Genomic DNA, 26,619 nt, shown 5'->3' with positions numbered 1-26,619 from the left:
CTGAAACAGGAAAAATTAAAGGTGCTGAACTTATAAAAATCCTAGTAGATTATTGTAAGCCCCTACCTAAATTGCCTCAATGCCCACTAAAACCAGTAGCTATTTAGTAGTTCTCACCATCATAAAGGACTTAAATAAAGACTTACGATTTCTTGCACTAGCCCTTATAACACTCCACTCCTACCAGTTAAAAACTCAATGGATGAAATTGTTCAAGATTTCCATATAGTAAATAAGATTGTAATACCAAGATTTCCAGTGGTTCCAAACTCTATTTTTTTTGTCTAATGTAACCACACATTCGAAATGTTTGACAGTAGTGAGTCTTTGCTCAGCCTTCTTTAGTACTCCAGTTGATAGAGTCAGTACTTACGTGTCTTTACTTGGGAAAATCAACAGTGTATTTTGATTGTAATGCTACAGGGGTTTACTGAAGTGCCATCCTATTTTTCTCAGATATTGCATCAGGATTTGGCAAACTTAAATTCCCTAGGAATTCTACTCTTGTTGTTGTTTTTTTGTTTTTCTTTTTGAGACGGAGTCTTTCTCTGTAGCCCAGGCTGGAGTGCAGTGGCACCATCTTGGCTCACTGCAAGCTCCTCCTCCTGGGTTCATGCCATTCTCCTGCCTCAGCCTCCTGAGTAGCTGGGACTACAGGTGGCCGCCACCACGCCCGGCTAATGTTTTGTACTTTTAGTAGAGACAGGGTTTCACTGTGTTAGCCAGGGTGATCTCGATCTCCTGACCTCGTGATCCACCCACCTCGGCCTCCCAAATCATGCTGGGATTACAGGCATGAGCCACCGTGCCCAGCCAGGAATTCTACTCTTAATGAATAAGTAGATGATCTACTGCTGTGCTCTCTTACTAAAGAAGGTCCAGGAATAGATTCAACTTACTTACTACAACAACTAGCTTACAAAGGGCATAAGGCTTCTATGGGAAAGCTACAGTTTTCCAGAAAAAAAAAGGTTCATTATTTGGGAAATAATCTGACTGCAGAAGGAACTCCCTCTCACTTGAAAGTTTCCTAAGAACCATGACTAAAAGACAATTAAGCGTTTCTTTGGACTTGTAGGTATTGTAAGTCTTGGGTCCAAATTTTTTTGTTTGGCACCTCCCTTTTATTAATTTACAAAATACTTTGTCCCAGAGTCTTTACCTTGGGAGAACAACCATGAGCAGGCCTTCAGCCAATAAAAACTGGCCCTACAACAACTTCTCATCTCAGAACTCTCAAATTACATCAAACCTTTCACCTTGCTTATTTATGAACCTGACAGCCAACTTTAGGAGTTCTTGCTAAAAACATGGAGGAAAACACAGACCCATCCATCATTTATTATAGCCTGCAATTAGACTCAGCAGCTATTGATTAAAGGCAGTAGCAGCAGCAGTCAGATTGGTAGAGGTTTCACCAGAGCTAGTTTTAGGACATAAACTTTATTTTCAAGCTCCACATGTTGTGGAAAGACCATTAAATTTCATTCAAACTCAAGATTTCTCAACAAGCAGACTAACATCTTGAGAAATTATTCTTCTGCCTCTTCATAGTCTCCATCTAAAATACTGCAAACTACTTAATCCTGCTACTTTACCATCCTTTTCTAGTGATGATGAGGACCACAATGGTGTAAATGTGAAATCATAGCTATTGACCCCTCACACTGATTTATAGGATGCTCCATTATATAGTTCTGGTCTAATACTTTTTTTTGATGGATCTTAAGCCAAAAATTCAGAAGGAAAATACCAAGCAGTATGTGCTATGACAACTCAATATAAACTAATAGAAAAGGAAACTCTTCCCCAATTTAAGTCAGCCCAACCAGCAGAATTGTATGTTTTTATTTAGGCCTGTGAAACATCTAAGGGCAAAACAGTCAACATTTATACATATAGTAGACATACCTTTGGGGTGGTCCGTAATGTTGTCATATTATGGAAACAAAGAAGATTCCTCACTTCTAGTAGGACCTCAATAAAAAAAAAGTGACCCCAAGTGAATGAGCTTCTTTCTGCTGCTTTGTGGCCCTCACAAGTTACTATTATTAAAATTGAAGCTCACACTCATAAAACTGACCCTGAATATGGAGAAACTGCCCTAGTGAATTTCCATGATAAGTTAGCTATTTCTGAAAGTGTTTGTATATGCCATTTAAATGAATTTCATAAGATTGATTCAAATAACCTATGATAATGTATTTAATAAACAATGTCCTGCACCTAAATTAGAAAAGCAAAGTTGGCACCTAAAAAATACAAACGCAGTACTAAATATGGACTCACTGAGGGCCCAGACAACTGCCTGGTCCTCCCTGAGTCCTTAAAATCACTGCAATTAAAGGCTCTATACTCCACAACTCACCATAGTGTAGACAAAATGGTACAAATTATGAAAAAGTATTGCTGAAGTGATTGTTGCAAAAACAGTTTATAACCAATGTCTGATTTGTCAGATTCATAATCCTGGAAAAACAATTAAGGTTTCTGGCACTATACTACAATCACCTGCTGGACCACTGGAACACCTCCAAGTACACTTCATTCAGCTGCCACCCTCAATGAGTTATCAGTATGTTCATATAATTGTATGCCTGTTCTTGGGATAGATTGAGGCCTTTCCCTGCAGGAAGGTCAATGACACAAAAGAAGCAAAAAAATTACTAGAGAATGCATTTCCCTTATGGAGTGCCCCTGGAAAGATTTTCAGTGATAGAGAAACTCATTTTATTGGACAAATTATTAAACAACTAAATTAAGATGTACAAAATGGCACTAGCATTATCCTTATCATCCCAAGTCTTCTGCAAAGGTTGAATAAACAAATGGTATCCTAAAACTAAAATCGGCTAACAGAATCTATTAGATTTCCTTGGCAAAAAGCATTACTACTAGCTTTAATGGCAATTAGATATACCCCTACTGAAAATCAAAGCACAGGTTGACACCTTATGAAATAGTAAGTGAAAGACCTATGCCCTTAACAATTAAACCTGAAGTATCTTGAAACCTCTGGTATAATTCAGTATTGCAAGGCCTTGATACATATCAAAGTATACTTCCACCAGGTAAAAGAAAGCCTACCATGACCCATTGATCAATCAATAGATTTTCCATGACCTACAACCTAGAGATTGGGTCTTTTGGAAATGATACCAAGGGAAGGCTTCCCTTGAGCTTCACTGGAAGGGAGCATATTATGTTCTTCTCACCACTCACACTGCAACAAAGCTTCAAGGCCTTAAGTCTTAAATTCATGTTTTTCAACTTAACTCAGACTTTTGGAAATGTACACCAGCTGACGATGTTTCACTAAAACTCACCATGAAAATCTCTCCCCAGAAGTAGATGGTACCTTGAATGAAGACTATTTTCCTAAGATCATGGATCAAGAATCTCCTCTCCCTATTATTAAGCCCCTATTTTTTTCTCTCCTATTTCTTGTTCTTCCTTTCTATCTGTGGGTGGCAAAATTATGTCATAATTGGAATATCACAGTCAATAGCTTCTGGAGGAAATTTAATAAAATGCTGGATTTGCCATGCTAAGCCAAAATCCTCCTATGATTTTAGAGATCCTTTAGTTCACATTGTGACTGAATTTCTAGACCCATTTATTCTTTTTTTTTTTTTTGAAAAGGAGAAAGAAAATGTTTATTATTTTTAAATTATATTATCTCCATATAAAATCCAATAAGTTTGGTGTACAAACTTTTATTATTAATAAAATACTTCAGCAGACCCATTTATTCTTATACTTGTTTTAATCTAACCCAACCATGGACTAGGATGGCCAATGTCCAAGTTAGTTGGCTATATTATATGGAGGCTACCTGGTTAAAAAACAACAACAAAAAAAGGACTTTAATAGACTCTTTTGCAAGAATTTGTATACACCTATGTATTTTTGCAGACTTCCAGTATGTGGTAACTCAGTATCAGACTCTTGGTTAGAAATGATCAGTGCCTCCATTGTAACTAATACCTCCACAAATAAAATTACCCAAGGAGAAGCCTTATATGCACCCCTGTGGTACATCTTTATCTGTGGAGGTTATTTAACTCTCAGCCATATGCTTGGGCCACCCCATGCCTTGACAGAGAATGAAAGGCCAATGCACACTAAGTATTTTAATAGTATCATTGTCATACTACAACCAATCAGAAGCTAAACACGGATCCACCCCTCTAAAACTACATCATAGATTAAAAAGAAACTTACAGCAGATGTCAACCCTACCAGGTGGGCATCATTTTTTAGGTATCTTTCCCTGTGGCTTGGGGTGAATGCAAATAACATGATGATCAGAAATTTGTCTTTGACATAAGTTACTATAGCTGACTCTACATCTAAGGCTATGTTTGCCCAAGAAAAATCTCTAAATTATCTTACTTAAGTTGTTTTAGATAATCAGATTGCATTGGACCATCTATTGGCTGAAAAAGGAGAAGTCAGTGCAATAACTAACATATCCTGTTATATCTGAATAAATACCTCTTGTATTGCAGAAACTCAATTACAATAAGTTAACAGGCCACATGGCTAAAACAAGTTGAATCCCTCTCTGGTTGATTCTTTGACTTATTTTATTTTAGCTGGTTTGGTTCATTAGGAACTAAAGAGAATATGTTGGCATCTTGATATTATCCTCCTGACAGTCATCATTACAATCACCTTTGTGCACTGTATTCTCTCAAGAGTCTTAAACACATGTCCACAGCCATCGATGGTACATCAGATGGTCTCACTGCAATTAGAGTACAAAAATGAAATAAAAGGAACCTTTCTTTAACAAGCCTGACGTCATGACTTACAAGTTCCTCACTGAGAAAAAGACAACCCAGCCACGATGGCAGCAGGGAGTGGTGCTTATGCCTATATTTTGGTCAGTCTCATAAATGAGAAGATGAAAAAAGGGGGAATTGTTTCTTTTTTAAAAAAAATCCTAATATAGAAACCATTACACTGAGACAGCCCCAGTGCTTTAGGTTCCTATAAGCAAACCAGAGCCCAATGTAAAGACTATAATGAAACTAGAGACATTATCAATCAGGAACTACTGTCTAACCTCTGACTAGTGTCTTTCTACTCTAAACTAATCTAGTATATTTTACTTGTTTTCCCTCCATGTGAAGAAAGCTCACTACCCGCATGGCTGTAGCAGAGTACTCCGAATCTCTTTTGATTCTGAGCACTACCCAATTCATAAATTGTTCTTTGCTCAAATACACCTATTAAATTTATTTTGTCTAAATTTTTATTTTAACATTACCTAAGATAACTTACTTAAGAGTGCTATGCACCTGAATTGGAGAAACAAAACTGATACTTAGAAGGATGTAAATTCAATGTTCAGCATGGACTTATGGAAAGTCTGGATGTCGGCCTGGTCTTTTCTGAGTCCTTACAGCTTCCATTGTTAAAAGTTCTGCCCTCTATAACTCGTCATGGAGTAGACAAAATGATACAAATTACGAAAAAATATTGGTGTGGTGACTGTTATAAAATTACTGAAATAATTCATAACCAATGTTTGGTTTGTCAAACTCATAATTCTGAAAAGACAATCAAAACCACAGGGGGCACATTTCTGCTACCTAATGGGCCATTTCAACATTTATAGAGATTCCATTTAATTGCTACTTCAGTGGGATATGAATTTTTTTTTTTTTTTTTTTTTTGAGATGGAGTCTCACTCTGTCGCCCAGGCTGGAGGCATGATCTCGGCTCACTGCAAGCTCTGCCTCTTGGGTTCACACCATTCTCCTGCCTCAGCCTCCTGAGTAGCTGGGACTACAGGCGCCTGCCACCACGCCCGGCTAATTTTTTGTATTTTTAGTAGAGACGGGGTTTCACTGTGTTAGCCAGCATGGTCTCGATCTCCTGACCTCGTGATCTGCCTGCCTCGGCCTCCCAAAGTGCTGGGATTACAGGTGTGAGCCACTGCACCCGGCCCTGTATTTTTTTAAATAGTTTATGTTCCCTAGTTGGAACTGTCAACGCAGGAAGTCCAATACTATAAGAGTAGCTAAAAGGATATTCAAAAATGTGTTTCCCTTATGGGGCATTCCTGGCAAAATCTCCAGCAGTAGAGGTATCCATTTTACTGGATAATTTATAAAGCAATTAAATAAGGTGGTATGAACACAATGGAATTACCATCATCTCTTTCACCCTCAGTCTTCTAGAAAGGTTGAAAGAACAAATGGTATCTTAAAACTGAAACTGGCAAAGTTAACTGAATTGATTAGATTGCCTTGGCTAAAGGTATTAATATTGGCCTTGATGGCAATCAGATCCACCCTCAGAGGAAAACATAAGTTGACCTCTCATGAAATAGTCACTGAAAGGCCTCTGTCCTTAATGATGGGACCTCATGTATCTCTTGGTCTCCTAAACCCTGATATGACTAAATGCTCTAAGGCTTTAATGCATTTTGCAAAAGTGTATTTTCACCGGGTAAAGGAAGCTTTTTATAATACACCAACTGAGAACAATCAAATCTTTGAAGATCTAGAACCTAGAGATTGGGGCTTCTGGAAATGACCTCAAAGAAAGACTGCCCTTGAACTCCATTGAAAGGGATCATACCAACTTCTTTTCACCGCCCTCACTGCAGCAAAACTTTGGGGGCTCAAACCTTGGGTCCACATCTTACAACTGAAAATGACCCTCCAGACTCTTAGAGCTGCACACTCATTGGAGACTTTTAGGGAAAGCCGACCAGGGAAGTTTCTCTGCAGAAGCAAATGGCATCCTAGATATGAATGGCTTTCCAAAGATTACAGACAAAGGCTTCTTTTCTATGCCATTATGAAAGGACTACCCTTTTTCTTTTTTCCTCATTTGCTGCTGTCCTAATCTTTTCCTTTTCTCTGCAGAAAAATCTGTGGAACCACAATTTGTGGATGAATTTTTTTTTTTTTTTTAGTTAAGGTTTATGTTCTAGCAAAAAACTGGAGCAATTGTTGGGTTTGTAAAGATAATCTAGTTTCCAATGAGGAAAGACTCCAATGAGGTTACTGAGGGCTCACTCTTGGGTAGTAGTGGAGTACCGGTAGTACGGAATTTGAAACTAATCTGTAAACTGGAAAAAAATCTTGGACTTTGTGGCCAACAAGGCCTCCTAGGGGTTCATACTGATAGAAGTCACTCTCTGAATGGTGGATAAAAACATACATGTTCAGCAAAAAGCACTTAATGAAACATCATGCAGTTTTAGATTTCCTTTTTTGTCATGCTGGGGGCTTGTGTAAGGTATTGAACAAAACTGAATGCTGTATCTATATTTCCCCTTATTTTGCTACTACAGAAAGCATAATTTAAAAGTTGGCTGAAACCTCTGTTTTTTAAAACCCTGACATCAAATAATCAAGGAAATTTCTCAAGAGATAAGAACACACAATGTGTTTATAGGAACCACTAATAGTTGGTTTGTAGACATCCTAAGTGGTGAGTGGCAAGCTTGGCTTTTCCAAGGTTTTCTAATGTTTATATCTTCTAGTGGGTCTCCAGGTGACTATAACTTAAAATAACTGGTTAATGACAAAACTGTATTCCTCTTAAATCAGACCATTCCACAGTGGACTGTGGTCTTTAATCACCATCACATCCTGAACACCGACTATGATCAATTGGACTCAAATACTACTGAACTTTCTATATTAGCTGAACTTCAATGTGCTTGATTTTGATCAGTTCAGTTTGTAGGGGCTTCTGTTGTGCAGTATACTTAAGTCTTTTGGTATTATTATCCTAATGATCATTATATAATAGTCCCCATGATGTGTGGTCTCCTCTCAAGTATTAAATTTTTGTATGCAGCCATCTAGCAATCCTTGAATAGTCTCACTTTGATTAGATCATCAAGATCATAAAGAATTATTGAACTCACTTGGAAATTCCGTACTGAGACCAAATAAGTCAATTTATGATGGTAAGAGAGAGTAGAATCCATGTCCAAGGTTTTGGTCAAATCTCTCAAAATTGAGAGGCTGACCAAAAGGGGAAGATTCTTCAACTAAATTTGGCCTGTGAATGCCTCTGTACTTGACTCTTCACATAATAAAATGCAACCTAACAGCACTGAAACTAACTTGAAGCCTAACACAGCAGTATACTTTTGTAATAACTAGCTGGATCTCAGTCAGTCCCAGTAGCCAAGCTTCAGTCAATCACAGATGGCCAACTGATCAGACCACGGTGAGGCGAGACAAATGCAAATCAAAACCAAGCAAGCTGTTTCTGTACTTCACCTCCATTTTTTATCCACAAATGCTGCCTGCCCACACTGAACTGTACCTTGCTCAGTTAAACTCTGCTATATTTTTCTAAAGTTTTTACTTTAATACAACAGAGCTACAGATCTCCCTTCCCCGCACAGAACAGCAGAGTGGGTGGGGAAGATACACAAGGAGAGAGTAGAGTACAAACAGAGTACAAGATCTTGGAGATCATCTGGTGCACCTCCCTCACTTTTATAGTTGAGCTTCCTGGAAATTAGCTGAATCACACAAGTCAGTATATGTGCAAAGACAGGAGCATAGAACTCTCATCTCAACTCTGGAATACCTTCTACTGTACCTCTGGGTCTCTAGTTTAAGAGGCTTGCTTGCCCTCAATGCTTAACATTTTCCTGAAGAATGATGGAGAGAATATTTTTGACAGTCTCTTTGCTACAAGAGCAATTCATATGAGATAAGAAGAAAATTATTTCCTACTTCCCTGACGAGATTTTTAAATAGTCATGGATCACAAAACCATGCCCAAAAGGCCTTTCTAAAACTGTAAAGAGGTAAAAAAAAGACTGCTACTGACAGGTTGAAGTAATGTTTTTGAATGAACACATCAGTTTTCTAGACTTTGGCATAATGAAATATATACTAGATGAGTTATTTAGAAAAATGTGGCAACTTCACTCGGTTGAAGTTTCCTTAAATAAACGGAGAAGCATATCATCTACCTGAAAGTGTAACTAAAGATTAAAGTAAAAACCCACATAAAATGTTTGAAGGCATCCTTAATACATAGTGTGCTCTTATAATATTAGTTTTTGTTTCCAAATGAATGCATATTATTTTACAGTACTCTGGGCTCTCTATACAGTGAGCTTATTTAGTAGATTAATATTTGCCTTGGAAGACTTTTGTCCTTAAAGAGATCATAGATTTTTAAATTAAAAAAAATTAATGATTATGGGTACATAGTAGTTGTATATGTTTTTGGCATACATGTAGTGTTTTGATACAGGCATATAATGTGCAATAATCAAGTAAATTGGAGTATTCATCACAACCATTTATTATGTATGTGTGTTAGGAACATTCCAATTCTACTCTTTCAGTTATTTTTAAATATATAATAAATATGCTTAACTATAGTGGCCCTATTGTGCTACAAAATACTAGACCTTATTCATTCTACATAATTGTATACCTGTACCCATTAACTATCCCCACTTTACCTTTCCTCCCTACTACCCTTCCTAGCCTCTTGTAACCACCACTCTACTATCTCCATGAGTTCAAAATTTTTTAGCTCCCACATGAGTGAGAATATACAATATTTATCTTTCTGTGCCTGATTTATTTCACTAAACATACTGTCTTCCTGTTCTGTATAAATAAAAGGACTTCATCTTTATGGCTAAATAATACTCCTTTGTGTAAATGTACCATATTTCCTTTATCCATCAATCCATTGATGGACATTTAGGTTAATTCCATGTCTTGGCTATTGTGAATGGTGCTGCAATATATATGGGAAGAAGATAACTCTTTGATATACTTTTTTATATATATATATATACCGAGAACTGGGATTGTTGGATCATACGGTAGTTCTATTTTTAGTTTTTTGGGGGAACTCCATATTCTTCCCCCTAGTGGTTGTGCTAATTCACATTACCATTATATTTATATCAATTTTATCAGCATGAGCTCTTGAAGCAAAAAACAAAATTCCTTAAATCTTAAACAACGTATTTTACCTAGTGCAACTCTCTCTCCAATATATACTGAAATGCCTCAAGAAGTAAAGTGGCTCATCTATTATCATACAGTCAATAAGAGGCAGAGATAGCACTTGAACCTAATATTTTAAGTTCAAGTACAGAGTTCTACATTGCCCCAGTTAAATTAACAAGGTCTCTGCACTCCAGCCTGGGCGACAGAACGAGATTCCGTCTCAAAAAATAATAATAATAATAATAATTAACAAGGTCTCAGTTCCTTTACTATTAAAAAAGATAAAAAGAGAAAAAAGGAATGTGCCAATGTCATGATTCCTTCCAGTATAAAAATGCTAGAACTTGAATAAAAGAAAATCAACATTTTTTAAGCACCTAGCAAGTACCAGGCCCTGTGCAGATTATTTGGAGGATAATTTTACTCCTGTATATGAGTGTGATCCTACTGCTTACTTATATGAGAAATGCAACTATAAATTGCATCATATTTCTTACAGGAAACTTGAGCTGTTTTTAAATCTATATAAATCCCAGCATTAAATGATTAGGAGAACAATGTGGCAACATGAAAAAAATTCTGATAGTATGATATTAAGTGAAAAATTAATATATACTATTGCATATTCTCTACAATTAGAACTCTGGGTACTGACATAGGAATTTCTTGGGTACAGAAGCAAGTCTTCACCCTCATCTCAGTATGCTTGTGCCTATTCCAAGAAGCATATGTTACATTAAAAAACATTCAGTTAAATAGAAAAGAAAATGAGGCTGTTCCTAGTAAAAGTCTGAACAAATACACAAAAATTATAGTGGTTGTTCCTGGAATATCGTAGTATGTTATATATGAATTTTCCTTCTGTTTTTACCTTTTCACTAAATTGGAGGTATAAGAAAAGACTGCTCTTAATTGCTGACTTTCAATTCAACCTATTGAAGGGTTGAAAAGAATGAGGTGTGATGTTTCCAATTCCATATTTTCTTAGAGAGAATATGTCAGTTTTCCTTAACTTTCTAACTGAAAGAAATTAGTCAGGAGCAGGGAGAGTCTATGCTTTTCTAATATGTACTTCTTTCCTATACTACATTATTGTGCATCAATTTTTATTTTTCAAGAATCACAGTGTCAATCAGGAAAGGACACAGCCAACTGAAAATAATGTTATCCTGTAGAAAATGGAATGACATTCATTAAAATGGTCACAGTGACAGATAATGCATGTTTTAACATTTCTTCACCATTTATTTTTAGATTTTTTTTCCATTCAAATGTAAGAAAACAACAATAGAATGAGACAGGAACAAGAAATGTTATAACCAAGCAGAGCCCTAGCCTAGCTCACTATGTCTGCTTCCTCTGGGTACATTCAGACAATACAAAAACATCGTACTGCATGGAAAATCTTATGGCATTAGTAAGAAAAATTATCCAGAACAGACAAAAGAATGGCAGCAAGCCCTTTCAGTGTCACACTGGAGCACTATCAGGCCTGTACAAAGGTGATTTAAGTCTCTAGGGTAGTGTCTCTCAACTTGAGAACCACTGATATTTTGGCCGGGATAATTTTTTCTGGGGGTATGAGAGGAGGCAGAAATAACTGATATTTTTATATTATAGGATGTTTAGCAGCATCCTTAGACTGTATGCTGGATGATGGTCGCACCCTCCAGGTGCCAAGACCAAAAATGTCACCAGACTTTGCCAAAAAACCCTAAGGGGAAAAATTACCTGGGTTCCCAAGAACCAGAAAATACATCATTGTTTTACTTACCATTTACTATTGGTAAGTACCCAGAGTTGTTCTGGGTACTTTTAACTTGTATATTTTTGTCTGGTAGTGATACAAACCATTTCCTCTCTGGTTGAAAATATATGTTCAAAGGTTATGATTTTATTATCCTGTGGGACATTAATGAGCATTTTCTCTAACTCAGCAAACATATTTCATCACACTTTTCCAAACTAACTATACAAATATCTGCTTTTCAAAGTCTCTTTAAAACTGAGTCACCATACTGAGGGTTCTCATCAATGGGTTAAATAAGCTGTGAAATATCCTCACTTGATATTTGTAGGAATCATTTACTTTTCTTAATTTTTAAAAGTATATTTTGACAGCATTCTTCATCTTTAAGAGAAAAATGCATGTCATTCTTACATAAGCCAGAGTTACTAATGTGCCCCGACTGCTCCACCAAAAACAATAAAAGGGTTTTTATTTTTTTGCTTTATAAATGATAAGAATTGCATGTTTGTATATGGAGAGATAATCTATCTAAATTCCATTTAATTACATTAGAAACAAATAGGATTAACTATACAATTACTTTCCCTTGTAAAGGACAAAAGCAACCAGTTCAAAAGAGCTTTGTTTTAATGAAGAAAGAAAATCAGGAAATATACGCCATTATTGCATAATTTAAAAAGTAACCACCATTCCCTAACCCCCGCCACCAACCAATACAGACACACAAATTCATGCAGACATGCACATGAGCTCATGCAGAACTGCAGGTCCATGGCTAATTTCTTCCTAAGGCAGTCACAAAACAGCCACAGGGAGGTCAATAGGAGATATTAGCTTCCACAGTTGGACCTTGTAAATCTCACAATTTTGAAACTGGAGGTGAAGGAAAGGATTGCTCTTTATAGTAATGTAGGACTATGGCATCTAATGTTTTTCCATTACTCACTAATCTCCTTTATAAGAAAGAGAACAGGCCTCTGGCTTAGGCAGACAAAGTGCCTGGCTGGGAATTTATAGCTTAGCTTTTATTTTTCAGGTGTTTACTTCCTAGTTATCTTTTACTTATGACAAATAATTCTGGCCTTTCATTTTCCTTTTAATGAATTTCAAATAAAAAAAGGATAAATAATAGTACAAATGGTAGAAGGATATGAAAAAAACATTATGAATGTGTTGAGTAAACAACGAAAATTTGGGGAACACTCTGCTAGATGAAACTGATATTTGCAATAGAACTCGGTCTATAATTGCTGACCCCAAGCTATCTTTTAATGAATTGTTAAGGACAAACTCCTCCAGGAGGAGGTATAAGGCTAACTAGTAAAAAGTGATCACGAAATTGAGGGTTAAGAGACCTTTATTCAAGCACTGGACATGTCATTAGCTGGCTGTGAAATCTTGAGTGTGTAAACCTGATAAAATACAATTTCATGATTTCTAAAACTCCAAATGAATGATTTCTAAGGGTCCTTTTAACTTTAAAGTGCAGAGATTGGCTACTATGATCCACACTGATCTCTCCCTCATCTATACTCCTATTTTACATAATAGAGTTTAGCACTGATTTATTTTTAATTATTTCATAACTGCCAGTTTTGCCTTTCTATCAAGACTGTAGGATGGCTGAAGAGAGGAATCACCTCAAATCTTTTCTGTAACTTAAAGAATGGTTTATTTAATGCTGTCCAAGTAGTAACACTCAATAACTGTGGGATCACTTGGTAATTGGCCAGCTTTTAGCTTTCAGCAGAAATTTAATTTGTTTTCATAGAAAATAAAGTGGCAACCATATAAATTGTTTAAAACTTGGAGAATTGTTTTAGTTAACTCTCTATTTTGTGAGTAGTTTATTGTATAAGAATGCTATGGTTTGAATGTTTGTGTTGCCCCCAAAATTTGTATATTGAAATCCTAACCTCCAAGTTGATGGCATTAGGAGGGGAGGCCTTTGGGAGGTGATTAAGTCACGGGCACAGACACCTCAAGAATGGAATTAGTGCCACTATAAAAGAGGCCTGAAGGAGTTGCTTGCCCTCTCTATCACGTAAGGACAAAGTGAGAAGATATTATCTAGGAACCATGAAACAGGCCCTCATTGAACAATGAATCTGCTGGTGCCTTGTTCTTAGAAATCCCAGCCTCCAGAGTTGTGAGAAAAAAATTATATAAGCTATCCAATTTATGGTATTGTGTTTGGTTTAGTAGCAGCCTAAAAGTACTAAGTCAAAACACATGGTGATGTATTAAAACTGCTCTAAAATACATAAACTTAAGCTACTAACCAAAACCTAGCAAATTCATAAGAGAATTGATAAAGATGAATTTGGTAAACTTGTAATCTATAAAAAATTATCTAAATAACTAAAGTACTCTAGAACTATGCTCTACAATATAGTAGCCACTGATCACACGCTGCTATATAAATTTAAAAATTTAGTTCATTGGCCATTTTTCAAGTGCCTTGTGGCTAATGTCTGTCAAATTAGTGCAGATTGTAGGTCATTTCTGTCAACACAGAAAAATCTACCAGACAGCACTTCTTTAGAATGTCCAGGGAGAAGCTCTTTCATTGAGATAATTCAAAGAAAACCATGTTTATCCAATGCATTTTCCAAAAAAGGAAAAGCCTTGGCGAAGAATTTGGTTTATTCTTCTCAGAACCTAACAAAATGGGGAAATGTCCTTGATTAATTTTGTGTGTTTATAAATTAAGGTACCTTAAGTGGAACAAAGAAATACCATTTATAAATAGAAAATGTATTACAAATATGAAAGTCAATTAAGGAAATACAAAATAAATCTTTGGAAATGACTTTCATATTTTTCTCACAGCCTACCAAAATCCATGGCCAGGAGATATGTAATATATACTTGGCAGAACTTGCCTTTATAGCTTAATTTTCTGTGCCAAAGATACAGGCCTTCAGAATTCTTGTTGAGAAAATAAAAAGTAATTGTGAAATGGTTCCTCTGGCCTAAGGGATGACAACATACATCAACACCATTATACCCTCCCTACCCACCCACAAAAGTTTTTAAAGAGTATAGAACAAACAAACAAGCAAATACAACCTTAACCAACACCAGCTCAACAGATATAGTCTATAAATTAATTATCAGCAAAGGTACAAAGTATGCAATAAAGTACTTAACAATATACATTTTATTTACCTCAGTTTCTCTACTTCTCTACATCTTACCAGATGGGTTATTTGAAAGAACTCCAATCTCCTACACAAAAAAGCAGGACTCTGGCAGATTGCTAACTAGAGATTTTTGGCCCTATAGGCAAGCATCTGTGAGTGGGGCTGTGTGGGAAACAAAAATATGTTGGAAAAAGAGTTGATAGATGCCCCAGCATAAATGAGGACCCAGCAAAATCCATACTCCTGTCATGGCATCTCTGTCCATCCATTTCTGTTAGTTACCAAGGAACTAGCCCAGAGCAAGGGCAAATGGACCACAATAGCTGGAGAAGTGGGAGAAAAGGAGGTATACCTTGAAGGAGTAAACAGTTTTGGATTTGTACAATGTTTTAAAATCATTAACAGAGACATCAAATCATTAGCTGTCAACCTGGTTCAACTTACTTAGAATACGTGTTTTTTTTTTTTTAATCCCATTGGAACAGAAATGCAATATAATCATGAATTTCATCTCTTATTCTTTATGTCTATAATAAATTTTGTTTTTTCTCTGGAAGTCCTGCATAAACATAAATGGTATTCCCTCTAAATTGCAGTTATTCTCACAGCCTCTGAAACCAAGTATGGGTCGCCTTCCCGTTCTGCACCAGGTCTCACCCACGCTTGATTTCATGGGCCAGGAGAGCACATCTGGCAGATCTAACAGAGGTCTGAAGTCAGGACAGTTAGCTAGAAGGTGATAAAGGAGTAAAGCAAGAGAAGATACAATAAAATCTGTTGTATAAATAACATTTTATGTAAGAACCAGCAAATATAACTCAGGGGAAGACATTTTCAGTGCAATTTTCCATTCGGATTATCTGTACTGTATCCAAGATAATATGTAGCGACAGGTAAACATTCAACAATTCTTTCAAAATCTATTTTGTATATATTTCTTTACTGTCAATTTTCGATCATCTGGAAAATTCAACTATACAGTCTCACCCAGTGTACTTTACACCAATCGTTCTGGACTTAAATGTCTTTCTCCATCATCAAATTGTATTGACAAAGTATGCAGTTCAAGAAAGCCCTTCTAGTTTTTATGAGGTACCAAAAGGAAAATACATAAAATTACAATCTAAGATACCCTGACAACACAAAAATCCACAGAATTCTTTCTTGATACCTAAAACTTCGTATGACAAATTTGGTTTTATAAAATGTAGAGCTTTCAAAAAAAAAGCATACCATAACATTTTAAGAAATTCTAAAGTCTTGAGTAATTTGTTAATTTAGGATCTATAAATTTGTATCACAATTTTCCAACATTAAAAGAAAAATGAAAGCTAAGTAACAGACAAACCATGTTGGCATGATACTTTTAAATTTGCAAAATGCAATTATTGTCCATATAAGATTACCAAATAAAAACAAAATCAGAGTCATAGCATAGCAGAACTGAAAAATACCTCGAAATAAGCTCATAGCCTAATCCCAATAATTTAGAAATGGCAAAACAGGAGTTCTTGACCTTCATTTTAACCTGAGTTTGGAAATGCATCACTAGAGGTTGCAGGAATCAGTGACTTGCGTCAGCTCAATGTGACCAAGCTCTATGCCTCCACATATCCTCCAACAAAAATGAGAAGCTAAGGACATTTCATGACTGATCCTGAGAGTGGCCCAGAAACCTCTTTGCTCCATTGCCTCCCTGCACCTGTTCAGTTCCATTTCTACCTGGTTCCCTGCTCAGCTTCATCTCATTGCCATCAACCCTTGCATCAACACTTAAACTTGGTGTTGCCATTCTGTACCCTAGCTTTACTCTTCAGTGATCTTTTTTTCCTTCCTGAGACAGAAAGACTCATCTTGTCTGGGCCCCCCTATTTACCATAATCACCATGCCTCCCCCTCCCACCTACCTCACGAGCTCAGATCTTGGTGTCCACACGGAGCCTCTCTAGTATGCCAGCCTTGACAGACAGCACCATTGTTAACAATTTCCAGTTCTTTACAAGGTCATTGGATTTAACTCTTCAAAGCACTGTGCTTTAATTTCCGAGTGGCACTTTACCAACATTAACTTCTTTGTGGAAAGTTTTACATCAAGGTAGCATTTGCTCAAAGGGCATGGGCCACATAATAGGGACCTTCCAAGGGACCTTCATTAATGCATAGTGTGGGGTAGAGGAGTGGAACTAGTGATACAACAGATGAAAAGGAACTTTCCAAGTGGGCAATTAAAACAGGGCATTCCAAAGAGAAAGAGAGAAAGAGAAAGAAGGGTGAGCAAGTAAGAAGTATGGAAGATCCAGGAACTCCTGGAAGTTCATTATCACCAGAGAACAGGTAAAAGGGGGGACCTGGTGAGAGATCCAGAAAACTGAGGAAAGATCGGACTTGCAGGGACCATGTTGTCAAAGGCCATGCGTGAGTGCCAGGGAATTTGGATGTTTTCTCGGTAAGTGGTGAGACAGCAGAGGCTAGTTAGAAAGCTGTTGCCATTTTCATGTGAAAAATGAGAGTATAAAATCAGACTTGTGGCAGTGAAGATAAAAACAAACAAACAAACAAAAAACAACAACAACAAAAAACAATGAACACCAATAGAATTTGAGGATTGGATGTTGAGGAAGAATGCACGAGGACTCATGGGTTTCCAGCCCCCTGAACGTGGTGGTTATGACACCATTTACTCAGAGGTAAGGAGAAATCATAAAGAGATTTAAAGAAGGTAGGAAATTAGCTCAATTTTAACCATGGTAAATTTGAAGTAAATAGACTTGAAGATCCTAGATTTTAAAACCAAAAAATATAGTCAGGACAGCACAAGGACAGCATGCAGAGACAGAGTAATGACTGGAGGACTGAAAACCAAGTACTCCAATTGAAGGAGAAAGTTAAGGGGAAAATATCAAGAGAAAGAGCATGCTAACTTTTACACAGACCATGGGATGTCATATTACCCTACAGAAATATTTTAAAGCTTACAAAGTTTTTTGATGTTTTATCAGATCTCAATTTATAACTATAGTTGACAGTGACATAGAAGACATTTGCCTTTTTGCTATTTTAAATGCAAACTTCAGCCTAGCTTATTGTAATACTGCAGTTATTTCCAGCCACACACATGCAGATTCACAAGTGAAATAAATGCTTTAATACAGTATTTATATTGATTTCTATGTAGTACAATTGCTTTGAGGATCTCTACTAATCATTGACTTTACTTTACACTAAGGCTTCATGTAAAAATTGCTTTTCATACATTAACCCTAGAAAATTCTTCCTTGAAATCAATTAGGGAAATACATTCATAAAGCTCATCAAATGCATACACATCACAGAAAAAGAAGGTTATCCCTTGTTCTTGTTTACTCACCATCTTTACTTCAGGATACAGCACTTTGCTCATAATCAGAATTAGGTTTTAGTGTAATCCTTGATAAATATAACAACTGAGCAGATATAGTGGCTTGCCTGGGGCTCAATCCTCCTGTCTTCATTGCTATTCACTGTACTGCTCAGTCTAGATGCAGATCAGTCCCATCAGTTTCTGTATCATGCTTTGGACTCCTAACATTATTTCCAAGGAAGTTTGCTACAACCTTTTTTAAGAGCAGGTGGCCACTACGCAGAAAGACAGAGCTTTAATATAATCTCCCCCATCCACATAAAAGACACCACAGGGAGCTGTCAGTACGTGAAAAGTAATCAGTCACATAATCTTTATTAAACACAGCACATACCTCACCTCAAAGGACAGGAATCCTTAAACAAAAAAGGCCTGTTGTTGCAGATTACTTTAGATTTAGCCTCAGGATCAAAGCAAGGGTAATTTTATTTAATTTTATTTTTTAAATCCTGAGCCTTTACGTAGAGCGTTTTCCTTAGATGGATTTTTTTTTTTTTTAATCTCAATACCGATTCTTCCCTCTTAAAGGCTTGGGTTGAAATGCACAGTCTCACCACGCAGAGATGGTTTTATTGAACCATTTTTCTGGATTCTCTAGAATAAATCAACTCTTATAACTGTAACTCCAAAGATTTCATGTCATCTTAAATTTTTGTATGCCTGAGTATATTCTTTACTCTACCAGTAATTACTTTTTTAAAAAAGAAAGAAATATTATCTACTAGATGGCTTCACCCAGTCTGGGACATTAATATTTCACTTCAGGTACAGAATCAGATTACTCTCCCCACTCACAGTCAGGTCTTGATTTGGGATGACAGTGTGGAGAAATCAAGACACTGTTTTTAATTAGCCACTTTTGCGGGTCAACAAATGAAGAGTTCCATTATTTCTGTCTTTTGTGAGAAGCTCTGATTCAAACACTTGTTCACTTTGGAAAATATCAGTGAGAAAGGAGCTTTTCTATAACAAGCCACATTGCAGTAGCATCAATATAGAAGCTACATTTCTATCCATCCCAGATTACTCTAGAGCCTGGTAAATCCCCCAACTCCAGTCATTAACAGTTTTGTCTCCTATATAAAACAGTGCAACTGGACAAATGGTTTGCATACAATCAGATGTGTTTTTCCATTTCCTGAGAATAATATATTTAAGAATGAGTATTAGAGGATACCATAGCCTCTTGTTCCTTTGAAAAGTCTCACTGACTTCTAAAAAATATCCTTTCAACTCCAGCTATAAGTGAGTTAAAAATAACCCCACTGGTGAAAGAAAGTGAAAATTACAAAGCTCTAGTTATAAATATTTTTCTTTTAAATAGATAATATAAAAATGCATTTGATACATGACAATTCTTATAGCATTATTTTATATCTAGCTATCCCTCCATTGGAGTATTAGTTACTTGGTTCAAAATAATGTGTTGCCACTGGTGCTATTTTGCTCTCTACAAGTATGTTTAAAAATTAGGAGCCCCATCAGAAAATTAGGACATTTTTCTCCTATCCAATCAAACAAGAAGGTAAACAGTTTTTCCACATTGAGGCATTGTCAGTATATCAGCTCTGGCTGGAGGCCCCTGTACAAACCCAACCTTACTATATCATATGCACAAACCTTATTATTTCAAACCATTCCTCCAAATCTCTAACCGTTAAAGCACTGAGTGGTCCTAAATCCTGGCTATGTATTAGACTCTTCCGTAAAGTTTTTTTTTAAAATACAGACACTTATAAACTGTGATGTAATTGTGCTGGGATAGGACTTAAGCATCGACACTTTTATAAGCTCTCCAAGTGATCTAAGGTGCAGCCAGGTTGAGAATCACTGCCGTAAGGAAATGTCTTAGTAGTTGTATCATCCAATTTCACCCAACTGTAGAGCTAACCACTTTCCCTTCACAAACATGGAATCAGAGATCAAATCATGACAGTTTTCAATATATTTCTATCAAATAATTTGAACAATCTCACAGTACTTTCTACATTCAAACAGAACAGTACTTTATATTTTGCATATTCAAAACAGCATATTTGAAAGAAAGTGGTGAAAAAAACAGTAACAAGAAGAAATAAATGTCCACTACACACGCCCTCAAATAGTTAAGTAATGTGATTTCCCCAGCCAGATTTCTACAATCCTTCCTCCCATGCATACTGGCATACTATTCCCCACCGTTACTCATCACCGATTAAAACAAAATAAAACAAAAGCCGATAAGCCGGGGCGTGGTGGCTCAGTCCTGTAACCCCAGCACTTTGGAGGCTGAGGTGGGTGGACTGCTTGAGCACAGGAGTTTGAGAACAGCCTGGGCAACATGGTGAAACCTCATCTCTACCAATAAACAAATAAATAAATAGCCAGGCATGGTTGTGCACACCTGTGGTCCCAGCTACTCCCAGAGGCTAAGGTGGGAGGATCACTTGAGCCCGAGAGGCGGAGGTTGCAGTGAGCCAAGATCGTGCCACTGCACTCCAACCTGGGTGACAGAGTGAGACCTCATCTCAAAAAACAGAACAAAACGAAACACCATAAAATTAAAAATTAAAAATAGAGACACCCATGTTGTCTGGATAAAGATAAAACCAGGGGATAATGGGCTGGACATGGTGGCTCAGGCCTGTAATCCCAGCACTTCCAGAGGCCGAGGCGGGTGGATCACCTGAGGTCAGGAGTTCCAGACTAGCCTGGCCAACATTGTGAAACCCCATCTCTACTAGAAATACAAAAATTAGTTGGGTGTGGTGGGGTATGCCTGTGATCCTAGCTACTCAGGAGTCTGAGGCAGGAGAATCGCTTCAGCCAGGGAGGTGGAGGTTGCAGTGAGCCAAGATCATGCCACCGCACCCCAGCCTGGGCAACAGACCGAGACTCCATCTCAAAAAAAAAAAAAAAACAAACAAAAAAACAAAAACAAAAACAAAACAAAAAAAAACATGGGATAACGTGCATTAGAGATGTGGGGTGGGTGAATCCAATAGGATCTCCTAATGAACCACAGCACCTCATATCCACGTCCTTTGCAATGTGACTTTACCACGCTGCCCATTGAGAAGTAGACTGTATTTCTCTGTCCATTGAAAATGGACTGGCCTTATAATTTGCTTTCATGGAGAGAATGCTATAGAATTGCCATTGTGTGACTTCTCAAGGTAAGCCTTAAGAGACATGCAGCTTTTGTTTTGTCCTTGTGGAATGCTCCCATTATCAATTGAAAAAACATACTCCAGCCTACTGAAAAATGAGAGGGAATGCAGGGGAGAACTCGGGCACCACAGCCAACAGCCAGCATCAACTGCCAGGCCTGTCAGTGAGGTCATTTGGTATTACCCAGCCCCAGCTGAGCTGTCAAATGTCTACAGTTATGTGAATGAACTCAGGCAGGATCAACAGCAAGACCAGCAAAAGAATCTGCTGGCTGAGCCCCAGCCCAGACTGCAGAATCATGAGCAAATAAACAGTTGCTATTTTATGCCAGTAAGGGTTGAGGTGCTTTGTTATATACAAAGAGATAATTCATACAGAAATTTATGTAATATTTCAAAAGAACTAATAACTACTGTCCTTACTTTGATATACACATACTACATGCAATTTATAAATAGCAAATTTTTGAAGTCTTAGCTTCATAAAGTATTTTTCAATTCAACCTCTCCCCCAATAAACTTCACAAAAGTAATACATTTGCTTTTCATTTTACTCCATGATTAGGTGTAGGATAAAAGTAAGTGCCATAGCTATCTCTACAAAAGTCAGGAAACAAATTAGCCTAAACTTGCTTTATAATAACAATGTTTATAGAATTCACTTTATTTCTCCTAGAGAACAAGGTATAAAAAGAAAAATTCCAGGAGGGATTATAACAAAAGTTTTCAAGCTTGGTTACCTTTGATAACTTTTACTTACAAACCACTTCACTAAATATTCCACCTAATGGAAAACCCCCTCAAAAACCTTTCTGCAAAAATGGTGGTAACTAGGATATTTGCAAATATTCTGTAAGAATCTTCTTTGAGCATGAATTTAGGCTATGGCTGAAGGGAAATATGGCTTTGTGGCTTCGTTTTTCTATTTTTTGGTCTTGCACTTTTTTGTGTGATTTGGGGATAGTTTTCTCATACTGTAATAGTTTTCTATTGACTGTATTACTATTCTATTGCTGCTCTAACAAGTTACACTTAAACAAATTTATTCCCTTACATTTCTGGAAGGCAGACATCTGAAATTAGTTTCACTGAGCTAAACACAAACTGTTAGAAGGGCCACTCTCCCTCTGGAACTCTAGAGAAGAATCCTTTTCCTTTCCTTTTCCAGCCTCTAGAATTGCATTCCTTGCACTCCTTGGCTCATAGACTCTGCCTTCAGCTTTAAAGCCAGCAGCACAGCATCTCCAAATCTGTTTGCTTCCAACATCACACCACTTTCTCCTCTTCTGTAGTCTAATCTCCCTCTGCCAACCCTTTTAAGGACATCTATAATCATCTCACTGGGCCCACCTGGATAGTCCAGGATAATCTTCCCATCTCCAGATTTTTTAATGACATCTGCAAAGTCCCCTTTGTCATGTAAGGTAACATCTTCACACAGTCAGGGAATTTGAATATGGATTTAGGGAGGCATTATTTAGCCTACCACACTGCCTTTAGTTGTTTACTGTTTGCCACTAAGGTCAAGATTCCCCAAGTAATTTCTGTGTTGAGCTAGCTCAATTGAGGAAAAGTAATGAAAATTCTTTGTTTACACATCTTCTACAATATACACTAAACTTTCTGCTTAAACCAAGCAATAATTAAATCATCAATTAAGCTTGGCTTAAGCCAAAATCTGACTGGTTAAAAACTATAGCAAAACTGGTCATAAGGTGGAGCTGTTCATTTTTCCAGCATTTTATTCTACTTAAGAACATGAATGTCATCATTTATTTGCCAGGTTGAATAAAAATTTCATCCAAAATGGTTGTTTCAAAGAATGCTGGGTAAATATTGCTTTCTGTTTAAACTTGAACACAAACACAACTTAGTGGCTTCCTATTTAACTTTAACTATCATTTTAAAAATGTATTCTTAACCTAACACAGTTTAATTTTATTAGCAGCATAAAAACAAATGTACACTATAGTTCTTCCACTGACAATGTTGCCTACTTGAAGGCATCATAAAGTTATAAGCATAGATTTATAATTCATACATTATTTAAAAAGAAGATACCCTTAATACTTTTTATCTGCAAAAGAAAGTAATATATTTCAATTGACATTATTGTTATTAGAATGATTCAAGTATGTGATGCAGAGTATTTAGACAATATAACTAGAATATAATATTTACATGTATGAAATCTCATTGACTCAGACAATAAGTAATAAACTACTTCTAATCTGTGCTAAAGGGACTATTTTATAGGGTAAATCAAATAAAGAAAACAAAGCAGTAAATGCAAATACTTGTTAAGATGATAGGGAATCAGATGTGCATTAAAACATCACATTATAGAATAGATAAGACAAATTTAAGAACATAATCTGAAGTACAACATTCAAAAGCAATAGCATGCAAATTAACTATTTTCATTTTATGAGAGCTCAGACATTATTTTTCAGGTTATAAAAGTAAATGATAAATTATTGTAATGGTTTAAGAAGTTTGAGAAAGTAACATCCAAAGTTAAAATACTGTTAACCAAAGGTCAGAACTGATAAAACAATAGTAGTTGACTATACAGCACATTTTGCATTTAAAAAAATATTGAGCAGTTTTCTCTTACTAGTGAGAGAAGAAAATTTCCTAATCTTTATTCCATTCCTTCCCAAAATCTTACTAAAATGAAAATATGGAAATCCAGTACAAACACAGCAGTGTACAGAGAAAAGGAAATGAAATATCAGAAGATAAGGGATAAACTTTTGAAAGAGGATAGCAGATGGAAGTGGAGTTACTGAGTTAGCAAAACCAAGAAACTTCACTGCTTAGGTAAGTAAAGTGGGTTTACCAGGAGGATGGAAGCCAGATTCATATGCCATATCCCTGCCAGGCTTAGAAATTATTTTTCAGGGACCCCTGAAGTCTAGGATGAAGGGTGGGACAGAGCAGGAGTATTTTTGTTTTAAAGTCCATATAAGAGAATACAGACTATCAGAACCCCTGGCTCACTCAGTCAGCTGAACTACTCTCCCTACATAAAGTTTGCTTTCTGGAAAGGTTTAAGGACCCTAGCTAAAGGTGAGGATGAAGTACTACACTAAAAACAGGGGTTAAATATACTCTCCATATTGAATGAGAATGGAGAATTCTTTTCTGGGGAAAATAAGTGGCCCAAGAAAAAAAACCTACAGATTCTGACTGACATTTGCATGTACTCCCTGAAAAAAAAAAATAGCTAGTCCCTGTTCATTTACCCAAAGATGACTCTCTTCTCTCTCTCTCTCTCTCTCTCACACACACACACACACACACACACACACACACACAACTTCCCATCAGCCTTTTGTGTACTTCATTTTCAAATGTAAGTGGACAGTCAAGGATTACATTTGAGAAATGCCTCTACTATGAGAGAAAGACTAAAATAAACAGTGAAAAAAAAATGATAAAAATAGAAAACCTAAATAAGTGTGTTTGTGGTGGGGGGAGGTGGTATTTGTGTATGTGTACTTTCAGAGATAAAAGAAGATACTGTAGATATTATACCTATGTAATTTCATCAGAAAATACAAAATCTTTTAGAAAACAGGAAAGAACATTTAGACATTTAAAATGATTGTTTAAAAATAATCCAATATAAAGGTTGAATAAATCTCTCAGAGTAAAAAAATTAAACAAATGGATGGAGAATAAGAGACTAAAAATACACATATAGTAGAGAATCAATCTAGGAGAATCAACATTGATCAGTGAAGTTTTCAGAAAGATAAAAGAGAGAAAGCAGGGTCAGAAATGACCCAAGAAATCAGACTACAATTTTCCAGTACTGAAGGGCATACACTTCTGGATTAAAAGAGTCATCCAAACACATAGCACAAATAAATGAAAAAAGGCCCACACCAAGACACAACATTATGAAATTTCAGAACACCAGGTAGAAATAAAAAATTGTAAAACCCTTAGAAAATAACCAGATACAATAGACTGAGAATCCAAATGTTATCAGACTTCTCAAACTGGAAGGAAGACAAGAATAGAATGGAGTATTATAGCTTTCAAAATTTCAGGGGGTTATTTTTTTTCAACCTAGAATTCTATAACAAGCTATATGATCAATCACATGTGAGGGTATAAAAAAGAGTTTTTGAGATAGTCAAGATTTCAAGGAATTTGCCCTTCAATCACTCTTTCTCAAGTAACAGACATGAGATTCATAAAACAATATGAAAGAGGCAGAGGCAATTCCCACTGTGATGATGAAGAGAAATCTTTTTTTTTTTTTTTTTTTTTTTTGAGACGGAGTCTCGCTCTGTCGCCCAGGCTGGAGTGCAGTGGCGCGATCTTGGCTCGCTGCAAGCTCCACCTCCCGGGTTCACGCCATTCTCCTGCCTCAGCCTCCCAAGTAGCTGGGACTACAAGTGCCCACCACCACGCCTGGCTAATTTTTTGTATTTTTAGTAGAGACAGGGTTTCACCATGTTAGCCAAGATGGTCTTGATCTCCTGACCTCGTGATCTGCCCACCTCAGCCTCCCAAAGCACTGGGATTATAGGCGTGAGCTACCGCGCCCGGCCAAGAGAAATCTTAAGTAACAACTGTGATTCAGACGTGAGGGAAACCAACTTCACTGGAGTAGTGTCTGATAGGCCCTAAGGAGCTGTCTTTAAAGAGAAAATAGGACTGCTAGATTCCTTCACGAATTTGACCCTGTTGAGATGAATCTATAAGTTCAGAAAGTTTGCACTGAGTTAGTGATGTTTACATAGGAAAATAAACAAATGAAAAAAATTGTTGGCTCCACAGAAAAGTCAGAAAAGAAATTTAATCATGGTACACTGAATGGTTTATCTTTGATCGGTGATTATATAGTTACAAACTATTGAATGTGAATTTAATAAAAATATGTGCCACAAGATTTGGAAGGATGGGATAGAGGAAAAACGTATATAACAAGGTGTGGAGGAAGACATGAAGTAAGGAAAAGCACTCATCATTTCTTGTAGGAAGATGGTAGACCATAATTGAAACTGAAATATCAGAAAACTGCCTTGTGGTCATTACTGGCACAAACTATGAAACTACATATGAGAAGAAACAACTATGAAAGAGTTGAAATTAGGTTCAGTCTAGGAAATAGGGAGAGAGGAATGGGAGTGGTGGGTAAGAAGATAGCTTTTCAAAAATGATAATAAGTCTTGTATTACTCTTTGAC

At 36.6% G+C, this 26,619-nt stretch overlaps 1 non-coding gene and 1 pseudogene across 2 annotated transcripts in view; both read right to left on the bottom strand.

Moving 5' to 3' along the window:
- EGFEM1P (EGF like and EMI domain containing 1, pseudogene) overlaps positions 1-26,619 on the bottom strand; it is a 581,078-nt pseudogene that overhangs the window by 263,190 nt on the left and 291,269 nt on the right. The window lies entirely within an intron of this gene.
- On the bottom strand, positions 15,461-15,556 carry MIR551B (microRNA 551b). Its single transcript, NR_030294.1, has one exon. It is a non-coding gene; the product is annotated as a microRNA 551b (primary transcript).

Source organism: Homo sapiens, chromosome 3, assembly GCF_000001405.40.
Source record: "Homo sapiens chromosome 3, GRCh38.p14 Primary Assembly".
Taxonomy (NCBI): domain Eukaryota; kingdom Metazoa; phylum Chordata; class Mammalia; order Primates; family Hominidae; genus Homo; species Homo sapiens.
The sequence above is the reverse complement of the archived record's forward strand: the minus strand, read 5'-3'. Positions and strand labels throughout refer to the sequence as shown.